The 21,712-nt window shown below is 44.9% G+C and overlaps 1 protein-coding gene across 10 annotated transcripts in view, besides 7 other annotated features; it reads right to left on the reverse strand.

Annotated features, from left to right (window-relative positions):
- Positions 2,374-3,217: an enhancer, noted in NCBI's record as "OCT4-NANOG-H3K27ac-H3K4me1 hESC enhancer chr6:74289477-74290320 (GRCh37/hg19 assembly coordinates)". NCBI's record gives its function as "activates a minimal SCP1, AML or CMV promoter by ChIP-STARR-seq in primed H9 embryonic stem cells {active_cell/tissue: H9 hESC(primed)}" and the evidence as "EXISTENCE:reporter gene assay evidence [ECO:0000049][PMID:30033119]".
- Positions 2,374-4,061: a biological region, named in NCBI's record as "P300/CBP strongly-dependent group 1 enhancer GRCh37_chr6:74289636-74290835".
- Positions 2,533-3,732: an enhancer, noted in NCBI's record as "P300/CBP strongly-dependent group 1 enhancer chr6:74289636-74290835 (GRCh37/hg19 assembly coordinates)". NCBI's record gives its function as "activates an origin of replication core promoter dependent on BRD2, BRD4, P300/CBP, MED14 and CDK7 cofactors, with strong dependence on P300/CBP, by STARR-seq in HCT116 cells {active_cell/tissue: HCT116}" and the evidence as "EXISTENCE:reporter gene assay evidence [ECO:0000049][PMID:35650434]".
- Positions 3,123-3,452: an enhancer, noted in NCBI's record as "active region_24753". NCBI's record gives its function as "activates an Ori minimal core promoter by ATAC-STARR-seq in GM12878 lymphoblastoid cells {active_cell/tissue: GM12878}" and the evidence as "EXISTENCE:reporter gene assay evidence [ECO:0000049][PMID:35858748]".
- Positions 3,218-4,061: an enhancer, noted in NCBI's record as "OCT4-NANOG-H3K27ac-H3K4me1 hESC enhancer chr6:74290321-74291164 (GRCh37/hg19 assembly coordinates)". NCBI's record gives its function as "activates a minimal SCP1, AML or CMV promoter by ChIP-STARR-seq in primed H9 embryonic stem cells {active_cell/tissue: H9 hESC(primed)}" and the evidence as "EXISTENCE:reporter gene assay evidence [ECO:0000049][PMID:30033119]".
- Positions 4,062-4,904: an enhancer, noted in NCBI's record as "NANOG-H3K27ac-H3K4me1 hESC enhancer chr6:74291165-74292007 (GRCh37/hg19 assembly coordinates)". NCBI's record gives its function as "activates a minimal SCP1, AML or CMV promoter by ChIP-STARR-seq in primed H9 embryonic stem cells {active_cell/tissue: H9 hESC(primed)}" and the evidence as "EXISTENCE:reporter gene assay evidence [ECO:0000049][PMID:30033119]".
- SLC17A5 (solute carrier family 17 member 5) overlaps positions 15,999-21,712 on the reverse strand; it is a 60,614-nt gene continuing 54,900 nt past the window's right edge. For 9 of the 10 annotated variants that reach the window (NM_001382636.1, NM_001382629.1, NM_001382632.1 and 6 more), the window contains one exon: positions 15,999-17,834. In NM_001382636.1, coding sequence (NP_001369565.1) covers positions 17,697-17,834 — 138 coding nt within the window. In that variant the 3' untranslated portion in view covers positions 15,999-17,696. Of the gene's footprint in view, positions 17,835-21,478; positions 21,577-21,712 lie in introns of all 10 variants that reach the window. The other variant, NM_001382633.1, reaches the window with a different exon arrangement.
- Positions 20,779-20,948: an enhancer, noted in NCBI's record as "experimental_94401 CRE fragment used in MPRA reporter constructs". NCBI's record gives its function as "activates a minimal promoter by MPRAs in K562 erythroleukemia cells, with activity observed for both the introgressed and non-introgressed 6:74307967 variant alleles {active_cell/tissue: K562}" and the evidence as "EXISTENCE:reporter gene assay evidence [ECO:0000049][PMID:34662402]".

Consider the following 21,712-nt stretch of genomic DNA (forward strand, 5'->3'; position numbering starts at 1 on the left):
GAGGTTGCAGTATGAGCCGAGATTGCACCACTGTACTCTAGCCTCGGTGACAGAGCGAGACTCTGTCTCAAAATAAATAAATAAAATAAAATAAAATTACATTTGTAAGTTGATTTCTGTTTCTGTTTGATAGCACTGGCTCAGACAAATCAGGATCTATTTCCAGAAATGGAGAGGGATAAATTCCTGAACAAAATCATGTTTTTTTGTTTGTTTGTTTTTAAGAAGGAGGAAGTATTTTCTTTTTGAAATAATGCATTATATTTCTCTACAGATATTTAACAGAGAGGATGGATGGAGGGCAAACAATGAGAGACTATACATTCACTGAGAACTATTTATGTGCAAATGTGCTGTGCTCAGTGTTGTGGGGAAAAGAAATTGCTGACCACGTAGGGAAGATAAGATATGTAGGCATGTGAGTGGTGAAGACAAAGGCTGTAGAATTTCAGACTTCAGAGATATTCTGTCTTGTGTGACAATGAATGCTAGCTTGATCTGGGCCTTGAAGGTAGATGGGGTTTCAATAAAAGAAGTCAGGTGGAGAGAGATGGCTTGGGAGGCATTCTAGGTGGAGAGAAAAGCACAGAGAAAATGCTGAGGCAGGAAAGCATAAACTGAATTTTAGTTTAGCCGAAGCTGAGTGCTAGAGAGAAAGAAGACTGGGTCACACTGCTAAAGGCCTCACAGAACCAAGTTGAATCTTAGTGGTAGCTTTATTATGGGATGCCCGAAGGGAGCATTTATTAGAGGCATAGGCAGCAGTAAAACACATCTTAATGTACTTTAGCAAAGGAGCTTAATTAAGCCAGGTTGTACCTCTCCTATGGCTCTTAGGAAGCATTCACAGGTCAGATCGGCATAATTTAGTGCTTGGAGCATGGTTCTAATCCCACCTGTGCAATTTTACGAGTTTTGAGATTTTGGGCAATTTATTTAACCTCTCTTTGCCTCAGTTTCCCTACCTGTAAAAATGGAAATGAAGGCCAGGTGAGGTGGCTCATGCCTGTAATCCCAGCACTTTGGGAGGCTGAGGCAGGCGGATCATTTGAGGTCAGGAGTTCAAGGCCAGTCTGGCCAACATGGTGAAACCTTGTCTCTACTAAAAATACAAAAATTAGCTGAGCGTGGTAGTGCGTGCCACTTGGGATGCTGAGGCAGGAGAATCGCTTGAACCTGGGAGGTGGAGGTTGCCATGGGCCAAGATTGCGCCACAGCACTCCAGCCTGGGTGACAGAGTGAGACTCCGTCTCAAAAAAAAAAAAAAAAAAGGGAATGATAATAGTAGTACCTACTTCATAGAGTTGTGAGAATTAACTGAATTAACATATGTAAGAGTAAGACTACACAGTGTCTGCACATACAGTACCTACTATAAGAGTTTGTTTAAAAAAATTTGGTTTGCTATTGCTAACTACACATAGGCAGCTAGGAAGCCACAGTCAGGAAAAAAAATCTTTTTCCCCCAAATCTGTATCTATGTAAGTAATAACTCTATGTGTATAAAGATAATGCACAGAGAGAATCCTGTGGGAAGAAATACCACTGTTAGGTCAGTCTGGCTAGTTCTACGTCCCCTGCAGCACTTGCTAACCCTGCTTTGCTGATGTCAACAGAAATTGTTGCGTGCGTTTACAGATAAATCTCCAAGTATTTAAGAAAAGTGGAGCAAAATACACTTACTAGGTCTAAGCATTTTTAACAAAACAGGATATTTTTCAAAGTGTAGTGCTGAATTAGGCTGTCTTTTTTTTTTTCCTTTTTTTTTTTTTTTGAGACAGAGTCTTGCTCTGTCACCCAGGCTGGAGTGCAATGGCGTGGTGTCGGCTCACTGCAACCTTTGCCTCCGGGTTCAAGCAATTCTTCTGCCTCAGCCTCCCCAGTAGCTGGGATTAAAGGTGACTGCCACCACGCCTGGCTAATTTTGGAATTCTTAGTAGAGATGGGGTTTCACCATCTTGGCCAGGATGGTCTTGATCTCTTGACCTCATGATCCACCCACCTTGGCATCCTAAAGTTTAGGATTACAGGCGTGAGCCACTGCACCTGGCAGGAAGGAAGATTTAGAGGGCAACTTGTCAATTTGGATGGCATCCTGGGCTGTGGGGCTGGCAGGAAGCTGTCCTGGACAGGGCACAGAGTGGCCAGGACAATAGGGAGGAGAGGCACCGGCTGGGGGGATTTGCCAGAGGCGGTGCCTCCCTTCCCCAGCAGGGCATGTGCTCCAGATCTTGTGCCACTTGACATGCAGAGCCTGGGTGCAACCTGCAGAAACCATGTGGGCTGTGCCCCAGCCTTGGGGTGGGTGTGGACCTGGTCTCCCTGGGGATACTGGAAGGGCCTCTGGGAGATATTTAGGGCGCAGCCTGGACATCTATACCATGCACTGGCAAACATACAAACAACAAAAAAACAGGGTATTCTATATATTCTATTGATTTTTAAATGTTGGCTGCAGCTGCTACATTCCTCGAGAGTAACTGAGTCCCACACAAGAAACCCTAAGCTCAACAGATTCTCTATTAGATGATTGCATTTTTTCAGAAACAATCTCCTAACCACCAGGCCTCTGGCCAATTTCTTTTCTGAGTTCCTGTTCCTGCCAGAAAGGGCAAATTCATTATCCTGTGAGGTCCAAGCTGGCCTCTTGGAGGTACAGCAAAGACTTTTACCCTTGGCCTGGAAGCAAAGGCTAGCCATGTGGCGCCCTTGGGCTTTTTTTTTTTTTTTCTAGAAAGTTTTCTGGTGAGTTAAAAAAACGTGCTCAGAGTCCTACCCACCCCCACCCCCATCCCCAGCCCAGGCGAGTTGATGTGTGGATTCCTGGCATTTGTTATTTGCTGCCCAAATGACCCTGGCCTCTGGGAATGAGGCCCCGGACCTTTGCTTTTATGTCCCAGAGCTCCTGTGAGTTTTACAAAATTATCATAATTATATTTCAATCTTAAGAGCTAGTTCTGCATTTTAGGCTAAAAAGCAAGAAATGAGGGACAAGAAAGTCACTTTTTGCCTAGTGTCCCTGCTGCCCCCAGCGGTCAGCAGCCTCTGACGCTGAGGGTGTAGACCCGGGTTCTGAGGCCCCAGTGTGACTTTCCATTGTTCGCGAGGCCCTCACCCGCTGCGCCGCCCGGGCTGAGTCATTCTAAATTCCTTTCTTTGTGTTTTCTCTCTGCAGTCACGCAGAAATAGTTGCTCCACTAGTCATCTTCTTTCCTTAAACCAAAAAGAAAGAAAAAAAAATCTAGCCTTTGATAGTTCTTATTCACGAATCAGCTAAAATATGAGTCAAACACAAGTTTCCTGAGAGCTATAAATATTTGCTGCACCCCACCCTACTGGGAAATACCCACAGTCCGTGTTTCGCCACCGAGTGGCTCAAATCTGGAGGATTTCTTTGGTGTCCGGGGTAAAACGATCCCTGCTGTGAGTGGTTTTTAGGGCAGTGAATCTGTAATGTATTCCAAGCTTCTGAAGACAGGGTGTGTGTGTGTGTGTGTGTGTGTGCGTGTGCGTGTGTGTTTATGCTGTAACAATCGGTTCTTTAAAACGTATTTTTTAAAATACAAAGTCCTTATGGTGAAAGTTATGGACATTGACACTGGGATAAGAGAGTGGAGAAAGTAGTGAGCTGAATGGCATCCTTCAGGAGTGTCAGTGTTTTGTTTTTTGGTGTTTTTATTGGCAAGTAAATATGGGTCATTTGGCATGGCCAGTGGGCTGACATGAATATCAACAAGGGCCACTTTGTAGGCCACAGAAGCCACCTTATCATCCAGTCTGAGGTGTAAAGTTTGAGGGTGGATTGGGGAGGGTCACTCCAGCCTGAAGCCCAAGAGCCAGAAACCCTAGATTTGGGGTTCTAAAGTCAGGCGGAAGTTTTGGGGCTGACCTTGAGTTTTTGTATTTGTTTTTTACAATGCATTCTTTTTCTGATTGTTATTATTATTTTTAATGACCCAAAGCAATCTATAGCAATGCAATTGCTATAAAAATACCAATGACATTCTTCACAGAAATAGAAAAAAAATCCCTAAAATTAATATGGAACCATAAAGACCCCAACTAGCCAAAGCTATACTGAGCAAAATGAACAAAGCTGGAGGTATTACACTACCTGATTCAAAATATACTACAAAGTGATAGTAACTGAAACAGCATGGTATTGGTATAAAAACAGACACCGACCAATGGAACAGAATAGAGAACCCAGAAATAAATCCATGCATTTACAGCCAACATTTTTTTATAAAGGCACCGTGGACATACACCAGGAAAAGGATGCCTCCTTCAATAAATGATGCTGGGAAAACTCGATATCCATATGCAGAAGAATGAAACTAGACCCCTCACCGTCTCTGGACACACTGCCTATGAGTTAGCCCTGCTCCTCACACAGCAGCAGGAAAAAAAAAAAAAGCAAATAGACCCCTATTTCTTACCATATACTAAAATCAACTAGTCTGGGTGTGGTGGCTTATGCCTGTAATCTGAGCACTTTGAGAGGCTGAGGCAGGTGGATCACCTGAGCCCAGGAGTTTGAGACCAGCTTGGCCAACATGGCAAAACCCCGTCTCTACTAAAAATACAAAAATTAGCCAGGCATGGTGGCATGTGCCTGTAGTCCCAGCTACTCAGGAGGCTGAAGTACGAGAATCACTTGAACCCAGGAGGTGGAGGCTGCAATGAGTCAAGATCACACCACTGCACTCCAGTCTGGGCAACAGAGTGAGACCCTGTCTCAAAAAAAAAAAAAAAAAAAAAAAGAATAAAACACCTGTACGTGAATGTTCTAGCAGTGTTATTCATAACTGCCAAAAAATAGAAACATCAACTAATGAAAAAACAAATAAATAATAATATATCCATTCAATGGAATATTATTTGGCAATAAAAAAGGAATGAAATACAGATACATGCTACCAGAGGATGAACCTAGAAAACAGGCTAAGAGAAATAAGCCAGTCATAACAGATCACATATTCTATAAGAAATGTCCAGAATAGTCATATCTGTAGAGACGGAAAGTAGGTTAGTGGTTGACTGGTACTGGGAAAAGAGAGGGAATGAAGAGTGACTGTGAATGGATATGAGGTTTCTTTACAGGGTGATGACGTGTTCTGTAATTAGACATTTAATAGTTGCACAACCCTGAATATACTAAAAAATCACTAAATTGTACACTTTTTTAAAAAAGAGATGGGGTCTTGCTATGTTTCCTAGGCTCAAGTAATCTTCCCTCTACAGCCTCCTGAGTAGCTGAGCCCTACAGGTGCACTCCATCATGCCCAGCTGACTTGTACACTTTTATTTTATTTATTTATTTATGAGATGGAGTCTTGCTGTGTTGCCCAGGCTAGAGTGCAGTGGTGCAATCTCAGCTCACTGCAACCTCCACCTCCTGGGTTCAAGTGATTCTCCCGTCGCAGCCTCCCGAGTAGCTGGGATTACAGGCATGTGCCACCACGCCTCGCTAATTTTGTATTTTTAGTAGAGACCGGGTTTCACCATCTTGGCCAGGCTGGTTTCAAACTCCTGACCTCAGGTGATCTGCCTGCCTCGGCCTCCCAAAGTGCTGGGATTTCAGGCCTGAGCCACCGCGCCTGGCCTACTCAACATTTTTGAGGTCTCTATATGGTCCTGAATTATATTATTCCATAATAAACATCCACCAGATTTAACTTATATTTCCCTAATCATGGACACCTGGGTTGCCTCCAACTCTGTCACAATAAACAGTGTGGAGTATACGCTTTCTTAGGGACTTCAGCAAATCACTCTGGGACATATACCCAGATGTGGGGCATATATACAGGGCCAAAGGACACATTTTTATTTAATTCAAATACAAACATTTTGCTTTCTGGAATGGGTTTGCCAGTTTATATCCCACACTCACTCCCTTTGTGGACAAGAATTTTTGTCTTCCCACATCCTTTGCCAACACTTAGCATCAGGTTTTATAATTTTTTTTTTTAGATGGAATTTCGCTCCTGTTGCCCAGGCTGGAGTGCAATGGCGTGATACTGGCTTACTGCAACCTCCGCCTCCTGGGTTCAAGCGATTCACCTGCCTCAGCCTCCCTAGTAGCTGGGATTACAGGCGACCACCACTACACCCAGCTTTTTTTTTTTTTTTCTGGTATTTTTAGTAGAGACAGGTTTTGCCGTATTGGCCAGGCTGAGTCTCGAGCTCCTGACCTCAGGTGATCGCCTGCCTCGGCCTTCCAAAGTGCTGGATTACAGGCGTGAGCCACCATGCCCAGCCATATTTTCTAATTTTTGCCAATCTGATGGATCTAAAGTAATATTTCATTATAGTTTAGTGTGCATTTCTTTTCTCCTTTCCTTTCCTTTTCTTTTTTATTTTTTGAGACGGAGTTTTGTTCTTGTAGCCCAGGCTGGAGTGCAGTGGCGCCACCTCGGCTCACTGCAACCTCCGTCTCCCGGGTTCAAGCAATTCTCCTGACTCAGCCTCCCTAGTAGCTGGGATTACAGGCGCCCACCACTACGCCCGGCTAATTTTTGTATTTTTAGTAGAGACAGGGTTTCACCATGTTGGCCAGGCTGGGTTCGAACTCCTGACCTCAGGTGATCCACCTGCCTTGGCCTCCCTAAGTGCTGGGATTACAGGCGTGAGCCACTGTGTCTGGCCTTCTTTTTTTTTTTTTTCTTTACACATTTTTTCTTTCTTTTCTTTGTTTTATTTTATTGTTTTATAGAGGAGAGGGTCTCACTATGTTGCCCAGGCTGGTCTTGAACTCCGAGGCTTAAGTGTCAGCCTCCCAAAATGCTAGGATTGCAGATGTTACAGATGGGAGCCACCACACCCAGCCTGAAATATCTTCTTAGTGTTAAAAAAAAAAAAAAAAAGAGAGAAGTGCATTATAATAGATATTGTAGGCCGGGCGCAGTGGCTCACGTCTGTAATCCCAGCACTTTGAGAGGCCGAGGTGGATGGATCATGAGTTCAGGAGTTGAAGAATAACCTGGCCAAGATGGTGAAACCCGGTCTCTACTAAAAATACAGGCTGGGCTCGGTGGCTTACGCCTGTAATCCCAGCACTTTGGGAGGCCGAGGCGGGTGGATTACGAGGTCAGGAGATCGAGACCATCCTGGCTAACACGGTGAAACCCCGTCTCTACTAAAAATACAAAAAAATTAGCCAGGCGTGGTGGTGGGCACCTGTAGTCCCAGCTACTCGGGAGGCTGAGGCAGGAGAATGGCATGAACCCGGGAGACGGAGCTTGCAGTGAGCCGAGATGGCACCACTGCACTCCAGCCTGGGCAACAGAGCAAGACTCTGTCTCAAAAAAAAGAAAAATAAATAAATAAATAAAAATACAAAAAAATTAGCAAGGTATGGTGGTGGGCGCCTGTAATCCCAGATATTGGGGAGGCTGAGGCAGAGAATTGCTTGAACCCAGGAGGCCAAGGTTGCAGTGAGCTGAGATCGTGCCACTGCATTCCAGCCTGGGTGACAGAGCAAGACTCTGTCTCAAAAAAAAAAAAAAATTAGATCTTATATGGGTGATTTATTCAATATACAGACTTGAATTTCCTCTAACAGCATTCATTACTTCATACAAAACAGTTCTTTTTTTTTTTTTTTTTTTTTTCTGAGATGGAGTCTTGCTCTATTGCCCAGGCTGGAATACGGTGGTATCATCTCGGCTCCCTGCAACCTCCACCTCCCGAGTTCAAGTGATTCTCCTGCCTCAGCCTCCTGAGTAGCTAGGACTACAGGCTCACGCCACCATGCCCAGCTAATTTTTGTATTTTTAGTAGAGACGGGGTTTCACTATGTTGGTCTGGCTGATCTCAAACTCCTGATCTTAATGATTCTCCCGCCTTGGTCTCCCAAAGTGCTGGGACTATAAGCATGAGCCACCATGCCCAGCCCAAAACAATTCTTAAGCATTAAAAAGATCAGACTCTTTATCCTTTCCAGATCACTTTTAATATCAACAAAACTTCTGGGGAAAGTTCAAGTTTCAGACTGTAGAGTGAAGGCTATAAAACGTGCTTAACACAAGGGGCTATTTGTAGTGCTCTAAAGCATGATTGGGACCAGGATGCACACTTGATCGGAGAGGTGATAACACTGTTGGACATGTTAGCGTATTTCAGTTGTTTCTGACAGTGAGAGTGCTTAAGAAAAAGATTTAATACAATATATATGTATAATCCTACCCCTCTACCAAAGTCTAGACGATTATGGACTGAGAATGTGTATGAGGAAACTGATAGTTTCAATAGTTTTTTAGCTCAGTTGGGCAAAAGTGGCTTCTCACTCAAGCACAGGACTGGCAGTGATGTAACACTTCTAAGTTTCCGCCTCCCCCAACATCAAGATAAAGTGAAAGTAAACAGGCACTTGGAAAATTACTAGTGTTCTTCCTCCTCCAGGCACATAAGAAAAGGGGGCAGAAAATTCCTTACATTTCATTTCTTTTCAGTATTGCTTATGCTCACAGCTTTCCTTTGCACAGCTCCTAGAAATAATTTTCTATATTATCCTTTGAGAGTAAAAACTTTTATAATTGGCTTTTCTGCTTATGGTTGCTCTAAAAGGCAGAGGCATCTGAAAAGGCTTTGTGATCCATCTTAATTTACATGTCTATGAGAAAGATAATTTATTCTTTAACTGAAATTAAACATTTACCCCATGTCTCTTCTTCTGAGGCAGTAACATGCTTTTACTGAGAGGAACCAGGCCATTTCCTATAGTGGTCTTCCTGCCTTCACATTTAAATGTTACATCAGTCTTTTTCTGTTTGGGGGAATTTCTCTCTCTCTCTTTTCTTTTTTGTGAGACAGCGTCTGGCTCTGTCACCCAGGCTGGAGGGCAGTGGTATGATCTTGGCTCACTGAAGCCTTGACCACTTGGGCTCAAGCTATCCTCCCACCTCAACCTCCTGAGTAGCTGAGACCACAGGCATGCACCACCATGGCTGGCTTTTTTGTTTGTTTGTTTTGTTTTTGTGATAGCTTTGGTCCCAATATTTGGGGGAATTTTATTTTGAACATCCAGAGGGGAGATAAGATAATCTACTCTGCAACAAAGTCTAAACTCAGATATCTCTATTTCTGATTTCCTGAAAACGAAACAAAGGCTGAAGTAAGAAAGACATTACCATGGCTAATACAAACTGCTGTCTTCAGCGTTTGTCTCAAGTTCTTTCATAAACTGGACTCTCAAGGTCAGTTGGCACGCTTCTTCCCCATTGGATTTGCTTGTTGGGTGGATAATAATGCTTTTACATGAGAGGTTTTGAAGGCTGGAGCTTATAAACAAAAACGCTTGATAAATAAAAATGTGAGCTGCAGGAGAAAAGGGACTTGGCTTATTTCTTTTTTTTTTTCCACTTCCATGTCGTCGTGCAAAAAGCAATGCCTGGTACATAGTGGATGCTCAGTAAATACTTGTTGAATAACTGGGAGAAGTATTTTGCATATACAAAACTAAGCTACTCTCAAATACTTTCAAAACTATTTGCTAATAATTACCATTTATAACTTATTTTGATGTTAGCATATTTATTCATTAAAAGCTTGCACTACTGTTGACCTGGAGCCTTATTGAAAAAAAAAATTGAAAAGCAGTCGGCACATTTATTTAATTTTTTGGGTCAGCAGAAAACATATGAAAAAAACAATATATGAGATCAAAAATTTCTATTTATTGGCCAGGTGCTGTGGCTCACGCCTGTAATCCCAGCACTTTGGGAGGCCTTTGTGGGCGGATCACATGAGGTCAGGAGTTCGAGACCAGCCTGGCCAACATGGTAAGCCTCGTCTCAACTAAAAATACAAAAAGTAGCCGGGCATGGTGGCAGGCACCTGTAATCCCAGCTATTTGGGAAGCTGAAGCAGGAGAATCTCTTGAACCCGGGAGGTGGAGGTTGCAGTGAGCCAAGATCGTGCCACTGCACTCCAGTATGGGCAACAAAAGCGAAACTCCATCTCAAAAAAAAAATTATGTATTTATTTATTATTTTTTGAGACAGGGTCTTGCTCTGTTGCCCAGGCTGGAGTGGCTTGGTGTGAACATGGCTCACTGTGGCCTCAACCTCCTGGGCTCAAGTGATCCTCCCACCTCAGCCTCCTGAGTAGCTGGGACCACAGGTCTGTGCCAGCACACCTGGCTAAGTTTTTAGAAAATTTTTTGTAGAGATGGGGTCTTGCCTTGTTGTGCAGTCTGGTATTGAATTCCTGGGCTCAAGCAATCCTCCTGCCCTCAGCCTCATAAAGTGTTGGGATAACAGGTGTGAGCCTTTGTGCCTGGTCAAAAATATCAATTTTTAGTCTATTTAACTAAAGGGTTGTTATTTAATAAGCATCCTAAGTGAACTAAGCACATGTTGTTATGAGTGAGACCATGCTGAGATGAATGGAATGAACCCTGCCTTCAAGATGTTTGTGATGAATCTATTCCTGGGACAGACACAGACATGTGTTCATTAAGTATTATAAAGAAAGAGGGCCGGGTGCAGTGGCTCACGGGAGGCTGAGGCTGGCGGATTGCCTGAGCTCAGGGGTTCGAGGCCAGCCTGGGCAACAGGCTCTACTAAAAATTTAGTATTTTAGTCTCTACTAAAAATACAAAAAATTAGCTGGATGTGGCGGCATGGACCTGTGGTCCCAGCTATTCGGGAGGCTGAGGCAGGAGAATTTCTTGAACCTGGGAGGCAGAGGTTGCAGTGAGTGGAGATTATACCACTGCACTACAGCCTGGGCAACAGAGCAAGACTCTGTCTCCAAAAAAAAAAAAAAGGAGGAAGGGGATCAAGGAGTCAAGGAGTCAGAAGGAGCTCCAGGGAGGGAAAGGGCTGTGTCAGATGCATCTTTGTATCCTTGTTGCCTAGCAAAGGGTAGATACTTAGTATTCGCTGAATGAATGAAGAAATTCTCTCTTCCACATAATTGAGCCTAAATCCTTGAGTTTAAAATAAAGGGAAACCCCAAAATAAATAAATAATGTGGCACTTTAGTAGGTTAAAGGGAGACACCACATCTAGATCAGGGAGGGTGGAAGAAATTAGGGGTCATGAAGGAGGTGGCAAGGTTGAGGAGAGACCTTCCAGACCCAGGGAAGGAAATTAATAAAGGTATGAAGAGGAAAGGGAAGATGGAGAGAAGGCATGGGGAAGTGAAGCAGCCAGATCGCTGCAACAAGGCATGGCTCCCACCATAAGATAAGGGTAGGGTAGGCTGAACCTAAGGGTGAGGAGGGCACAGCTGCTGGGTGGGAGAGTTTACTGGGTAGGCCCAGGGAAGCCATGGGGCTCACCATAGGGGAGCACCTTAATCAGAGAGATTAGTTGTATTGGGACAATGAACTCAACACTGGTGGGAAGCTGGGATAGAAGAGGGCAAGACTAAAGGCAGTGATACCACTTAACTTTTCTACTCTAGGTGTAAACAAAAGCCACTAGACTCTTACTTAGGAGATGAGAGTGGGTTTTTTTTTTGTTGTTTTTTTTTTTGAGAAAGACTCTCGCTCTGTCACTCAGTCTGGAGTGCAGTGAGATCTCAGCTCACTGCAGCCTCGATCTCCTGGGCTCAAGTGATTCTCTCAACTCAGCCTCCTGAATAACTGGGGCTACAGGTATGCACCACCATGCCCGGCCAATTTTTTGTATTTTTTGTAGAGACCAGGTTTCACCATGTTGCCCAAGCTGGTCTCAAACTCCCGGGCTCAAGCCATCTATCCACCTTGACCTTCCAAAGTACTGGGATTTCAGGTGTGAGGCACTGTGCCTGGCCTGGAAGAAGGATTAAGAAAAAAAAAATTCCAGGCCGGACATGGTGGCTTACACCTGTAATCCCGGCACTTTGAAAGGCTGAGGCGGGAGGATCACTTGAACCCAGGAGACTAGACTGGACAACATAGTGAAACCCCATCTCTACAAAATACAAAAATTAGCTGGGCATGGTGGTGCAGACCTTTAGTACCAGCTAGTCTGGAGGCTGAAGTGGGAGGATCTCTTGAGCCTGTGGGGTAGAGGCTGCAGTGAGCTGTGATCATGCCACGCCCCCCAGCCTGGGTGACAGAGTGATACTCTGTTTCAAAACAAACAAAAAATTCCAGAGACATGAAAAAACTGAAATGGAAGAGCCAGGTGTTTTTTTTTTTTGTTTTTGTTTTTTGACGGGGTCCCCTTCTGTCGCCCAGGCTGGAGGGCAGTGGTGCGATCTCGGCTTACTGCAACCTCCATCTCCCGGGTGGAAGAGATTCTCCTGCCTCAGCCTCCCGAGTAGCTGGGAACTACAGGTCTGCACCACCATGTCCAGCTAATTTTTTGTATTTTGTAGGACTGAAGGCGGGTGCCACCATGCCCGGCTAATTTTTTTGTATTTTTAGTAGAGAAGGTGTTTCACCACGTTAGCCAGGCTGGTCTGGAACTCTTGACCTCAGGCAATCCACCCGCCTTGGCCTCCCAAAGTGCTGGGATTACAGGTGTGAGCCACCGTGCCCGGTCGGCAGGTGGTTGTTTTGGCACAGAGTAGGGGGTTTGGTGGGAGGCTAGGGAGGAGGAACAGAAATGACTTTGGGCCAAGCCTAAGTGACTGGGGAAATGTACTTTTAAGAGAAATATGAAGGTGGCAGGAACAGCCAGTTTTATTTAGAATGGGGGTGGGGGAGTGAGGTTGGATTTAAATAGTCTCAGGTGCAAGGAAGGATAGCCAGCTGGGGATGTCCAGCAGGTAGTTGAAAACCTAGCGGTGCCAGGCACGGTGGCTCACGCCTGTAATCCCAGCACTTTGGGAGGCCGAGGTGGGCGGATCACAAGGTCAGGAGATCGAGACCATCCTGGCTAACACAGTGAAACCCCGTCTCTACTAAAAATACAAAAAATTAGCCTAGCGTGGTGGTGGGCGCCTGTAGTCCCAGCTACTCGGGAGGCTGAGGCAGGAGAATGGCGTGAACCTGGGAGGCAGAGCTTGCAGTGAGCTGAGATCGCGCCACTGCACTCCAGCCTGCGCGACAGAGCGAGACTCCGTCTCAAAAAAAAAAAAAAAAAGAAAACCTAGCGGTGATTACACAACAGCTTGGGCAACAGGTCTTTTGTTTTTAAAACAATATATTTGGCCAGGCACGGCAATCCCAGCACTTTGGGAGGCTGAGGCGGGCAAATCACGAGGTCAGGAGTTCGTAGACCAGCCTGGCCAACATGGTGAAACCCCATCTCTACTAAAAATACAAAAATTAGCCAGGTATGGTGGCGCATGCCTTTAGTCCCAGCTACTCAGGAGGCTGAGGCAGGGGAATCGCTGAACCTGGGAGGTGGAGGTCGCAGTGAGCAGAGATCGCGCCACTGCACTCCAGCCTGGGCAACAGAGCAAGTGTCCGTCTGAAAATAAATAAATAAATGAAACAATATATTTATTTGAATAGGTCATACTGCCACATTTGGTAAAGTGAAAATTAATTGTCCTTCCTATCCCTAGTTGCTGATTTTATCTCTATAGAGGTAACCGTTGTTTGTGGAAAAATCTACTCAAACTGTGTTTTTTTTTTTTTGTTTTTTTTTTTTTTGTTTTTTTTGAGACTGAGATTCGCTCTTGTTGCCCAGGCTGGAGTGCAATTGCGTGATCTTGGCTCACCGCAACCTCTGCCTCCTGGGTTCAAGCGATTCTCCTGCCTCAGCCTCCCGTGTAGCTGGGATTACAGGCATGTGCCACCATGCCCGGCTAATTTTGTATTTTTTAGTAGAGACAGGGTTTCTCCATGTTGGTCAGGCTGGTCTCGAACTTCTGATCTCAGGTGATCTGCCTGCCTCAGCCTTCCAAAGTGCTGGGATTACAGGCGTGAGCCACCACGGCGGGCCAAATGTGTTTTTTTTCTTTTTCTTTTTCTTTTTTGAGACGGAGTCTCACTCTGTCGCTCAGGCTGGAGTGCAGTGGCGCGATCTCAGCGCACTGCAAGCTCCGCCTCCCGGCTTCATGCCATTCTCCTGCCTCAGCCTCCGGAGTAGCTGGGACTACAGGCACCTGCCACCATGCCTGGCTAATTTTTTTGTATTTTCAGTAGAGGTGGGGTTTCACCATGTTAGCCAGGATGGTTTCGATCTCCTGACCTCGTGATCCACCCGCCTCGGCCTCCCAAAGTGCTGGGATTACAGGCGTGAGCCACCGCGCCCGGCCCAAATGTGTTTTTTTCTTATCTCTCATTCAACAATAAACACAGAAGACTTCTGTGATTAAAAGGGTGTGGGTTTTTCCTCACACACCAACTAAGCAATCAGTTCTGCAACAGACACCGACTGGGTGTCTCCCAATTCAGTACTGACACTGTCTACCTGGAGGTAGCATCCGATTCCACAGGTTGAAGGCCCAGTCCCCAGGATTGCCCACCACTGGAGACACCAGTCCCAAGTCTAGGGTTCTGGAACTTGTGACCTGCTGGCTTCAAGTTGAGGTTTTCACAACTGCCTCTTTTGGTTCAATCGATTTGCTAGAGTGGTTCGAAGAACTCAGGGAAACACTTATGTTTATCATTTACTATAAAGGATATTACAAAGGACACAGATGAAGAGATGCACAGGGCAATGTCTGGGGAAAGGGATGAGGAACTTCCATGCCCTCTCTGGGCGTGCCACCCTCCAGGAACCTCCATGTGTTCAGCTATCAGTAGCCTCCCCAAACCCTGTCTTATTAGGCCTTTTATGGAGACTTCATTGGATAGTCATGATTAACAACCATGTAGAAATGTGATTGGACAGAAAGGGTGTGATCTAACACTAATAGACTCAGAGGGAAACCCACCAAGTCCTGTCCAGATTCTTCTTGGCCTCTCTGTGCAGCATTCCTTCCTCCAGGGTATGGAGAGGACCTCTTCTCAAACGTGGGCATGGGGTCTTATGACCTACAGTCCAACAAGGTAGGCCACATAATTTTTTTTTTTTTTTTTGAGACGGAGTCTCACTCTGTCACCCATGCTGGAGTGCAGTGGTGCAATCTCGGCTCACTGTAACCTTCACCTCCCGGGTTTAAGTGATTCTCCTGCCTCAGCCTCCCGAGTAGCTGGGACTACAGACGCCCGCCACCACGCCTGGCTCATTTTTGTATTTTTAGTAGGGACGGGGTTTCACCATATTGTCCAGGCTGGTCTCGAACTCCTGACCTTGTGATCCGCCCGCCTCAGCCTCCCAAAGTGCTGGGATTACAGGTGTGAGCCACCTCCCCAGCCACAGAATTTCTTTATGACCAGTTCCAAGACAGAAAGGTGGGGGAAGATTCCTGCCTTGGGAGAAAAAGCAGCAGGTGAAAGGAGGAGAGGAGAGGATCAGAAAGATTCTGTTTCCTGAGGCTACTTCTAAGGGCTAAAGGCGCTCAACATAACAAGAGCTACGGGAGTTATGAGCCTCGAACCATGGATGAAAATCTATATCTGTATCTATATCTATCTATAAAATCACACACTGTTTTCCAGTTTCTTGAGTATTATCTTAGAGATATTCTGTACACTTGTGATTTAATGTCTCCAGGAGACTTCTGTATTTTTATTTAAGGACTAGAGAAGACGTGTGTATCTCTGAGATAGAAGGAAAAGAATAAGGGGAGAGACTGAAGAAGTAAATGAAAGAGGAGCTCCTAACTGGGCGTGATAGCACATGCTGTGTAGTGCCAGCTACTTGGGAGGCTGAGGCAGGAGGATCGCTTGAGCTCAGCTTGGGCAACAAAGCAAGACCCTGTCTCAATTATTTAAAAAAAGAATTACTGAAGCAAGTCCTTAGAGGAGGTGGGAGAGAGAGAATCAGTGTAGTGTGGGCATATGCTATAGCAAGAAGGACTGACTCTATTCAGAGCTAGGAAGGGCAGGTTGATGGCAACAGAGATTTCTGATGCTGTATCCCTTAGGAGGCCCAAGTTCCTCGGCTTTGTGGTAGCAGAAATGTGTGTAGAGAAGACGATGGCTCGAGCAGGATGCAGAAAAGATGTCAAAGAGTCACTGTGGACACTAGGAAACATCACAGAACTGTCAGATCCAAAAATCAATTCACAAAGGTTTATTTTGATGATTTATAAAAGAAACATTGCCATAGCAATTTAAAGCTATTTACAAATTTAAAAATAAATGTACATAAATGTATTCACATCACATTAAACAGTTTTAAAATATTACACGTAGTGTTGAACACAAAACATAAACTAAGTTTTAAGCCACATAGGTGTTCTGAAAGCATGCTCAACAACCACAGCCACTGGAGGATGGTCCACTGGAAAAATATGATTTCAGGAACCAGAAGTAAAGATGATTACCCTAGTCTCAGGTGATGTGGCCTTTAAAAGTCACTTTAACTTTAAACTGCAACACAAACTTAGATGAAGACAGACTGAACAAACAGTGAGAATTAATTAAAAAAAAAATTCTCGTGTAGCTTAAAAACATAGAACAGGCTGGGCACAGTGGCTCATGCCTGTAGTCTCAACACTTTGTGAGGCCGAGACAGGAGGATCGCTTGAAGCCAGGAGTTCAAAACCAGCCTGGGCGACAAAACGAGACCCCATCTCTACAAAATACAAACGAACAAAACACAGCACATAGAAATTTATACTGTGATCCATGTGAGAGTAGATTTAAACCAGGATGATCTTATTTGTGATTGACTGGGCATCGCACTTTTCTTTCTTTATTCTTTTTTTTTTTTTGAGTTGGAGTCTCGCTCCATCGCCCAGGCTGGAGTGCAGTGGCGTGATCTTGGTTCACTGCAACTTCCACCTCCCAGGTTCAAGTGATTCTCCTACCTCAGCCTCCTGAGTATCTGGGATTACAGGCGCCCGTCACCACGCCCAGCTAATTTTTTGTATTTTTAGTAGAGATGGGGTTTCACCATGCTGGCCAGGCTGGTCTCGAACTCCTGATCTCATGATTCGCCCACCTCAGCCCCCCAAAGTGCTGGGATTACAGGCATGAGCCACCGTGCCCGGCCGCTTCGCATTTTTCTTTTGCAGGTTGCATGCCAGCCAATATTCCTCTGTGCTGGGAAGGGAAAGTTTGAGGATGTATCAAGACCATAGCAGTGGATCTCACTGCTCTTGCCTACTCAGGGCTTTATCTACACATTGATAGCCCCTCAGAGGAAAGGCACCAGCCGAAGAGTCGACACTGGCTCTGGGCTTGGATGCTGCCTCTGATAAACGCTGGGCACTCTGACCCTGAAGCCAGGGAGGGAGTGCTTGGCAGCTGCCTGGGCACACTCCCCTCAGTCCAGTTGCCAGGCGAAATTATACAGTGGATGGCAGCTCCACAGAGATGCTAAAGTTTGAGGTCTAAGTGTCAGAGAGAGCTGACAATTTTTATGAGGAAAGTGAACAACAACAGGTGTTTATCAGTACCTGAGAATTATCATCTAGTTTAATTAAGCAAAGGTATCAGGAGGTCTGTTTCAGCTCATTCCCTTTAGTATGGCCCTAAAAAATCAACAGAACTGTCCTACTTCATGTTGCCCGACTAGCAGGCAGGTATGTGAACCTAAAGTAGAAGTCCTAGCTTACATATTATTCATAATTAAACACAGTTCATTTTATTATTCTGGCAACTAGTGATATTTCATGATTATAGGCCTTAAAAATCTAATACAAGTACAATTAAAAAAAGACATAGAATGCTTACACAATACAGAAGGCACTTTGAGGTTACATGATAAATAAAAATACATTAATAGAGGCAGGATTATTTATTGGTTCCTTCAGTGTCTGTGTCCATGGTGATCATTGAGAGCCCAGTTTTGTACTTCACCTTTGGCGAATAGTGTAAAGAAAATGGCACCAAAAACATTAATAGCAGCAGCAATATAGAACACGGTTTGCCATTCTCCAACAGTGTTCTATAAAGGAAGACAAAAAATGCAAGTGAAATAAAATTTTGTGTGTAGTTCACTTCATTAAAAAGATAGTGTCACAAGAGTGTTAAAACAGCCACATTATTCATAAAAGCCTCATCCTTGAAACAACCCAAATGTCCACCAGCAGTAGGATAGTGGTATATTTGTTCAACGTAATACAATACAGCAATGAGAATGGGCTACAACATCATAAATACAGCTCACAAACAAAATATGAAGCAAAAGAAGCCAGACAAAAAAGGTACATACTAAATTATTCCATTTATATAAAGCCCAAAGTCAGACCATACTAATCTATGGGGTTAAAAGTTGGGAGAGTGGTTCCACTTGGTGAGGGTGAAGGAAAAATAGGAGGAAATGGTACCTGGGGTCTTACTGAGGGAGGTAATATTCTGTTTCTTGATTGGGTGCTGGTTACACAGATGTATTAACTTTGTGGAAATTCATCTAGCTGCACACTTTAGATTAGTGCATTTATTTATTTTTGTTTTTATTTTTGAGACAGAGTCTCACTCTGTCACCCGGGCTGGAGTGCAGTGGCGCAATCTCGGCTCACTGCAGCCTCCACTTTCTGGGCTGAGGCAATCCTCCCAACTCAGCCTTCCAAGGAGCTGGGATTAGAGGTGCATGCTACCATGCCTGGCTAATTTTCTTTGTGTGTGTATATATATGTATATATATACGTATATATATACATATACATATATATATATATACGTATATATATACATATACATATATATATATATTTTTGGTAGAGATGGGGTTTCGCCATGTTTCCCAGGCTGGTCTTGAACTCCTGGGCTCAAGTGATCCACTCGCCTCAGCCTCCCGCAGTGATGGTACTACAGGTGTGAGCCACCACGCCTGGCCTGGATTTGTGCATTTAAAAAAAGTTATACTTCAATAAAAAGTTTACTGAAGATAGATAGATATACTTCAATAAAAAGTGTACTGGCATGTCCCTGAATCATGCCTAACACTAACTAACACTAAGAAAGTCTTATGCCTGTGCACGGTCTCCTGGGTTCTCAGGTGAAAGGTGTCAGGTGGATCAAGTAAATACTGTTAAGATGAACTCAAGTTCAGCTTTGAGGATCTGTGACATCAGAGAGAGGCCTGGCAAGTATAAAAGATCTTGAATGGCATACAAAGCAGGATATAACATGGGATCTGTCAGTAAGACAACTGTTCAGTGTATAACCCTGTGGCATAAAAATATCAGACAGTTATCTAAATTTCTGGGTCATGTGACTACCTTTAACAACCATTTTTTGGATTTTTTCAATTTCAGTCTAACCAGAGTGGTGACTACATTTGCAGCATTAACTAAGAAACACACGGCCGGGCGTGGTGGATCACGCCTGTAATCCCAGCACTTTGGGAGGCCGAGGCGGGCGGATCATGAGGTCAGGAGATCGAGACCATCCTGGCTAACATGGTGAAACCCCGTCTTTACTAAAAAAATAAAAAATTAGCCGGGCGTGGTGGCTGGTGCCTGTAGTCCCAGCTACTCGGGAGGCTGAGGCAGGAGAATGGCGTGAACCTGGGAGGTGGAGCTTGCAGTGAGGCTGAGATCGCTCCACTGCACTCCAGCTTGGGCAACAGAGCAAGACTCCCTCTCAAAAACAAAACAAAACAAAACTGGTTGGGCGTGGTGGCTCATGCTTGTAATCCCAGCACTTTGGGAGGCTGAGGTGGGTGGATCACCCGAGGTCAGGAGTTCAAGACCAGCCTGGCCAACATGGCGAGACCCTGTCCCTACTAAAAATACAAAAATTAGCTGGGCGTGGTGGCAGGCTCCTGTAATCCCAGCTACTCGGGAGGCTGAGGCAGGAGAATTGCTTGAACCTGGGAGGCGGAGGTTGCAGTGAGCTGAGATCATGCCATTGCACTCCAGCCTGGGGAACAAGAGTGAAACTCCGTCTCAAAAATAAATAAATAAATAAACCAGGCCAGGCGTGGTGGCTTACGCCTGTAATCCTAGCACTTTGGGAGGCCATGGTGGGCGGATCACGAGGTCAGGAGATGGAGACTGTCCTGGCTAACAAGGTGAAACCCCGTCTCTACTAAAAAGACAAAAAATTAGCCAGGCGTGGTGGTGGGCACCTGTAATCCCAGCTACTTGGGAGGCTGAGGCAGGAGAATGGCGTGAACCCGGGAGGCGGAGTTTGCAGTGAGCCAAGATCGTGCCACTGCACTCCAGCCTGGGCAACAGAGTGAGACTCCGTCTCAAAAACAAAACAAAACAAAACAAAAAAAACCAAGCAGGCCAGGCATGGCGGCTCATGCCTGTAATCCCAGCACTTTGGGAGGCCGAGGTAGGTGGCTACCTTGAGCCCTGGAGTTTGAGACCAGCCTGGGCAAGGTGGTGAAACCCCATCTTTACAAGAAGTAGGAAAATTAGCTGGACATGGTAGTGTACATCTGTAGTCCCAGCTACTTGGGGGGCTGAGGTAGGAAGATCACCTGAGCCTGGGGAGGTTGAGGCTGCAGTGAGCCATGATTGCGCCACTGCACTCTAGCCTGGGCGATGGAGACCCTGTCTCAAAAAACAAAGAAACAAACAAACAAACAAAAAACCCAAACAAACAAGCAGTAGAACTAGCAATGAGGAAGTGAAAGAGAAGGCACTGGGAAGCCAGTATGAGGTCATTTATTTGGGAAAAAAGGAGAAACATGAAGAAAGAAACACCCTGTGGTGGCTATACTTGTCTGAGATGAGTGCATTTTAATGAAAAAAAATCTTAGATACTCATCTTAAATTCTGCTGAGGAATCAGTCAATAATTACATCTTATACCAGAAAGAAATGTTTGAAACAGCTTCTTAGGATTACTAAGACAAAGCTGCCCTGTGTGGTCTCTGGGACAAAATAATACTTCAGTGTTATCTGAAGGCAATGAGTGAACTTAAAATCAATCGTTGTACTACAAGTCTCACACAGCTCCTAGTTTGTTTTTTAACAAAAATTCCACCAGTTTTTAGAGAATACTGTTTTGTTTATAACAACATTGAACCTCAGACACACTTTGAATTTTAATTATTGCATTATTTATTTATATGCTGACTCATTCCACAAAGTTTTTGAGGCAGTGCTCAAAGTAAGAAATTACAGGCTGGGCGCGGTGGCTCATGCCTGATATCCCAGCACTTTGGGAGGCTGAGGCGGGTGGATCATTTGAGGTCAGAAGTTCGAGACCAGCCTGGCCAACATGGTGAAACCCCATCTGTACTAAAAATTCAAAAATTAGCCGGGTGTGGTGGCACGTGCCTGTAGTCCTAGCTACTTGGGAGGCTGAGGCAGGAGAATTGTTTGAACCTGGGAGGCGGAGGTTGCAGTGAGCTGAGATCACGCCACTGCCCTCCAACCTGGGGGACGAGTGAGACTTCATCTCAAAAAGAAGAAAGAAATTACAATTGTGAAGGTAAGTGTGTGCTTTTCCTTTTTAAAAATAATATACTTTAGAGTTTTATTTGGCCGGGTGCAGTGGCTCACTCCTGTAATCCCAGCACTTTGGGAGGCCGAGATGGGCGGATCACCTGAGTTCCAAACCAGCCTGACCAACATGGAGAAGCTCCGTCTCTATTAAAAATACAAAATTAGCTGGGCGTGGTGGCACATGCCTGTAATCCCAGCTATTCGGGAGGCTGAGGCAGGAAAATCGCCGGAACCCGGGAGGCAAAGGTTGTGGTGAGCTGAGATTGCGCCATTGTACTCCAGCCTGGGCAACAAGAGCGAAACTCCGTCTCAAAAAAAAAAACCAAAAAACACACACACACACAAACAAAAAACAAAAATTAGCAGGGCATGGTGGTGAGTGCCTGTAGTTCCAGCTACCTGGGAGGCTGAGGCAGGAG

Source organism: Homo sapiens, chromosome 6 (assembly GCF_000001405.40).
Source record: "Homo sapiens chromosome 6, GRCh38.p14 Primary Assembly".
NCBI classification, from domain to species: domain Eukaryota; kingdom Metazoa; phylum Chordata; class Mammalia; order Primates; family Hominidae; genus Homo; species Homo sapiens.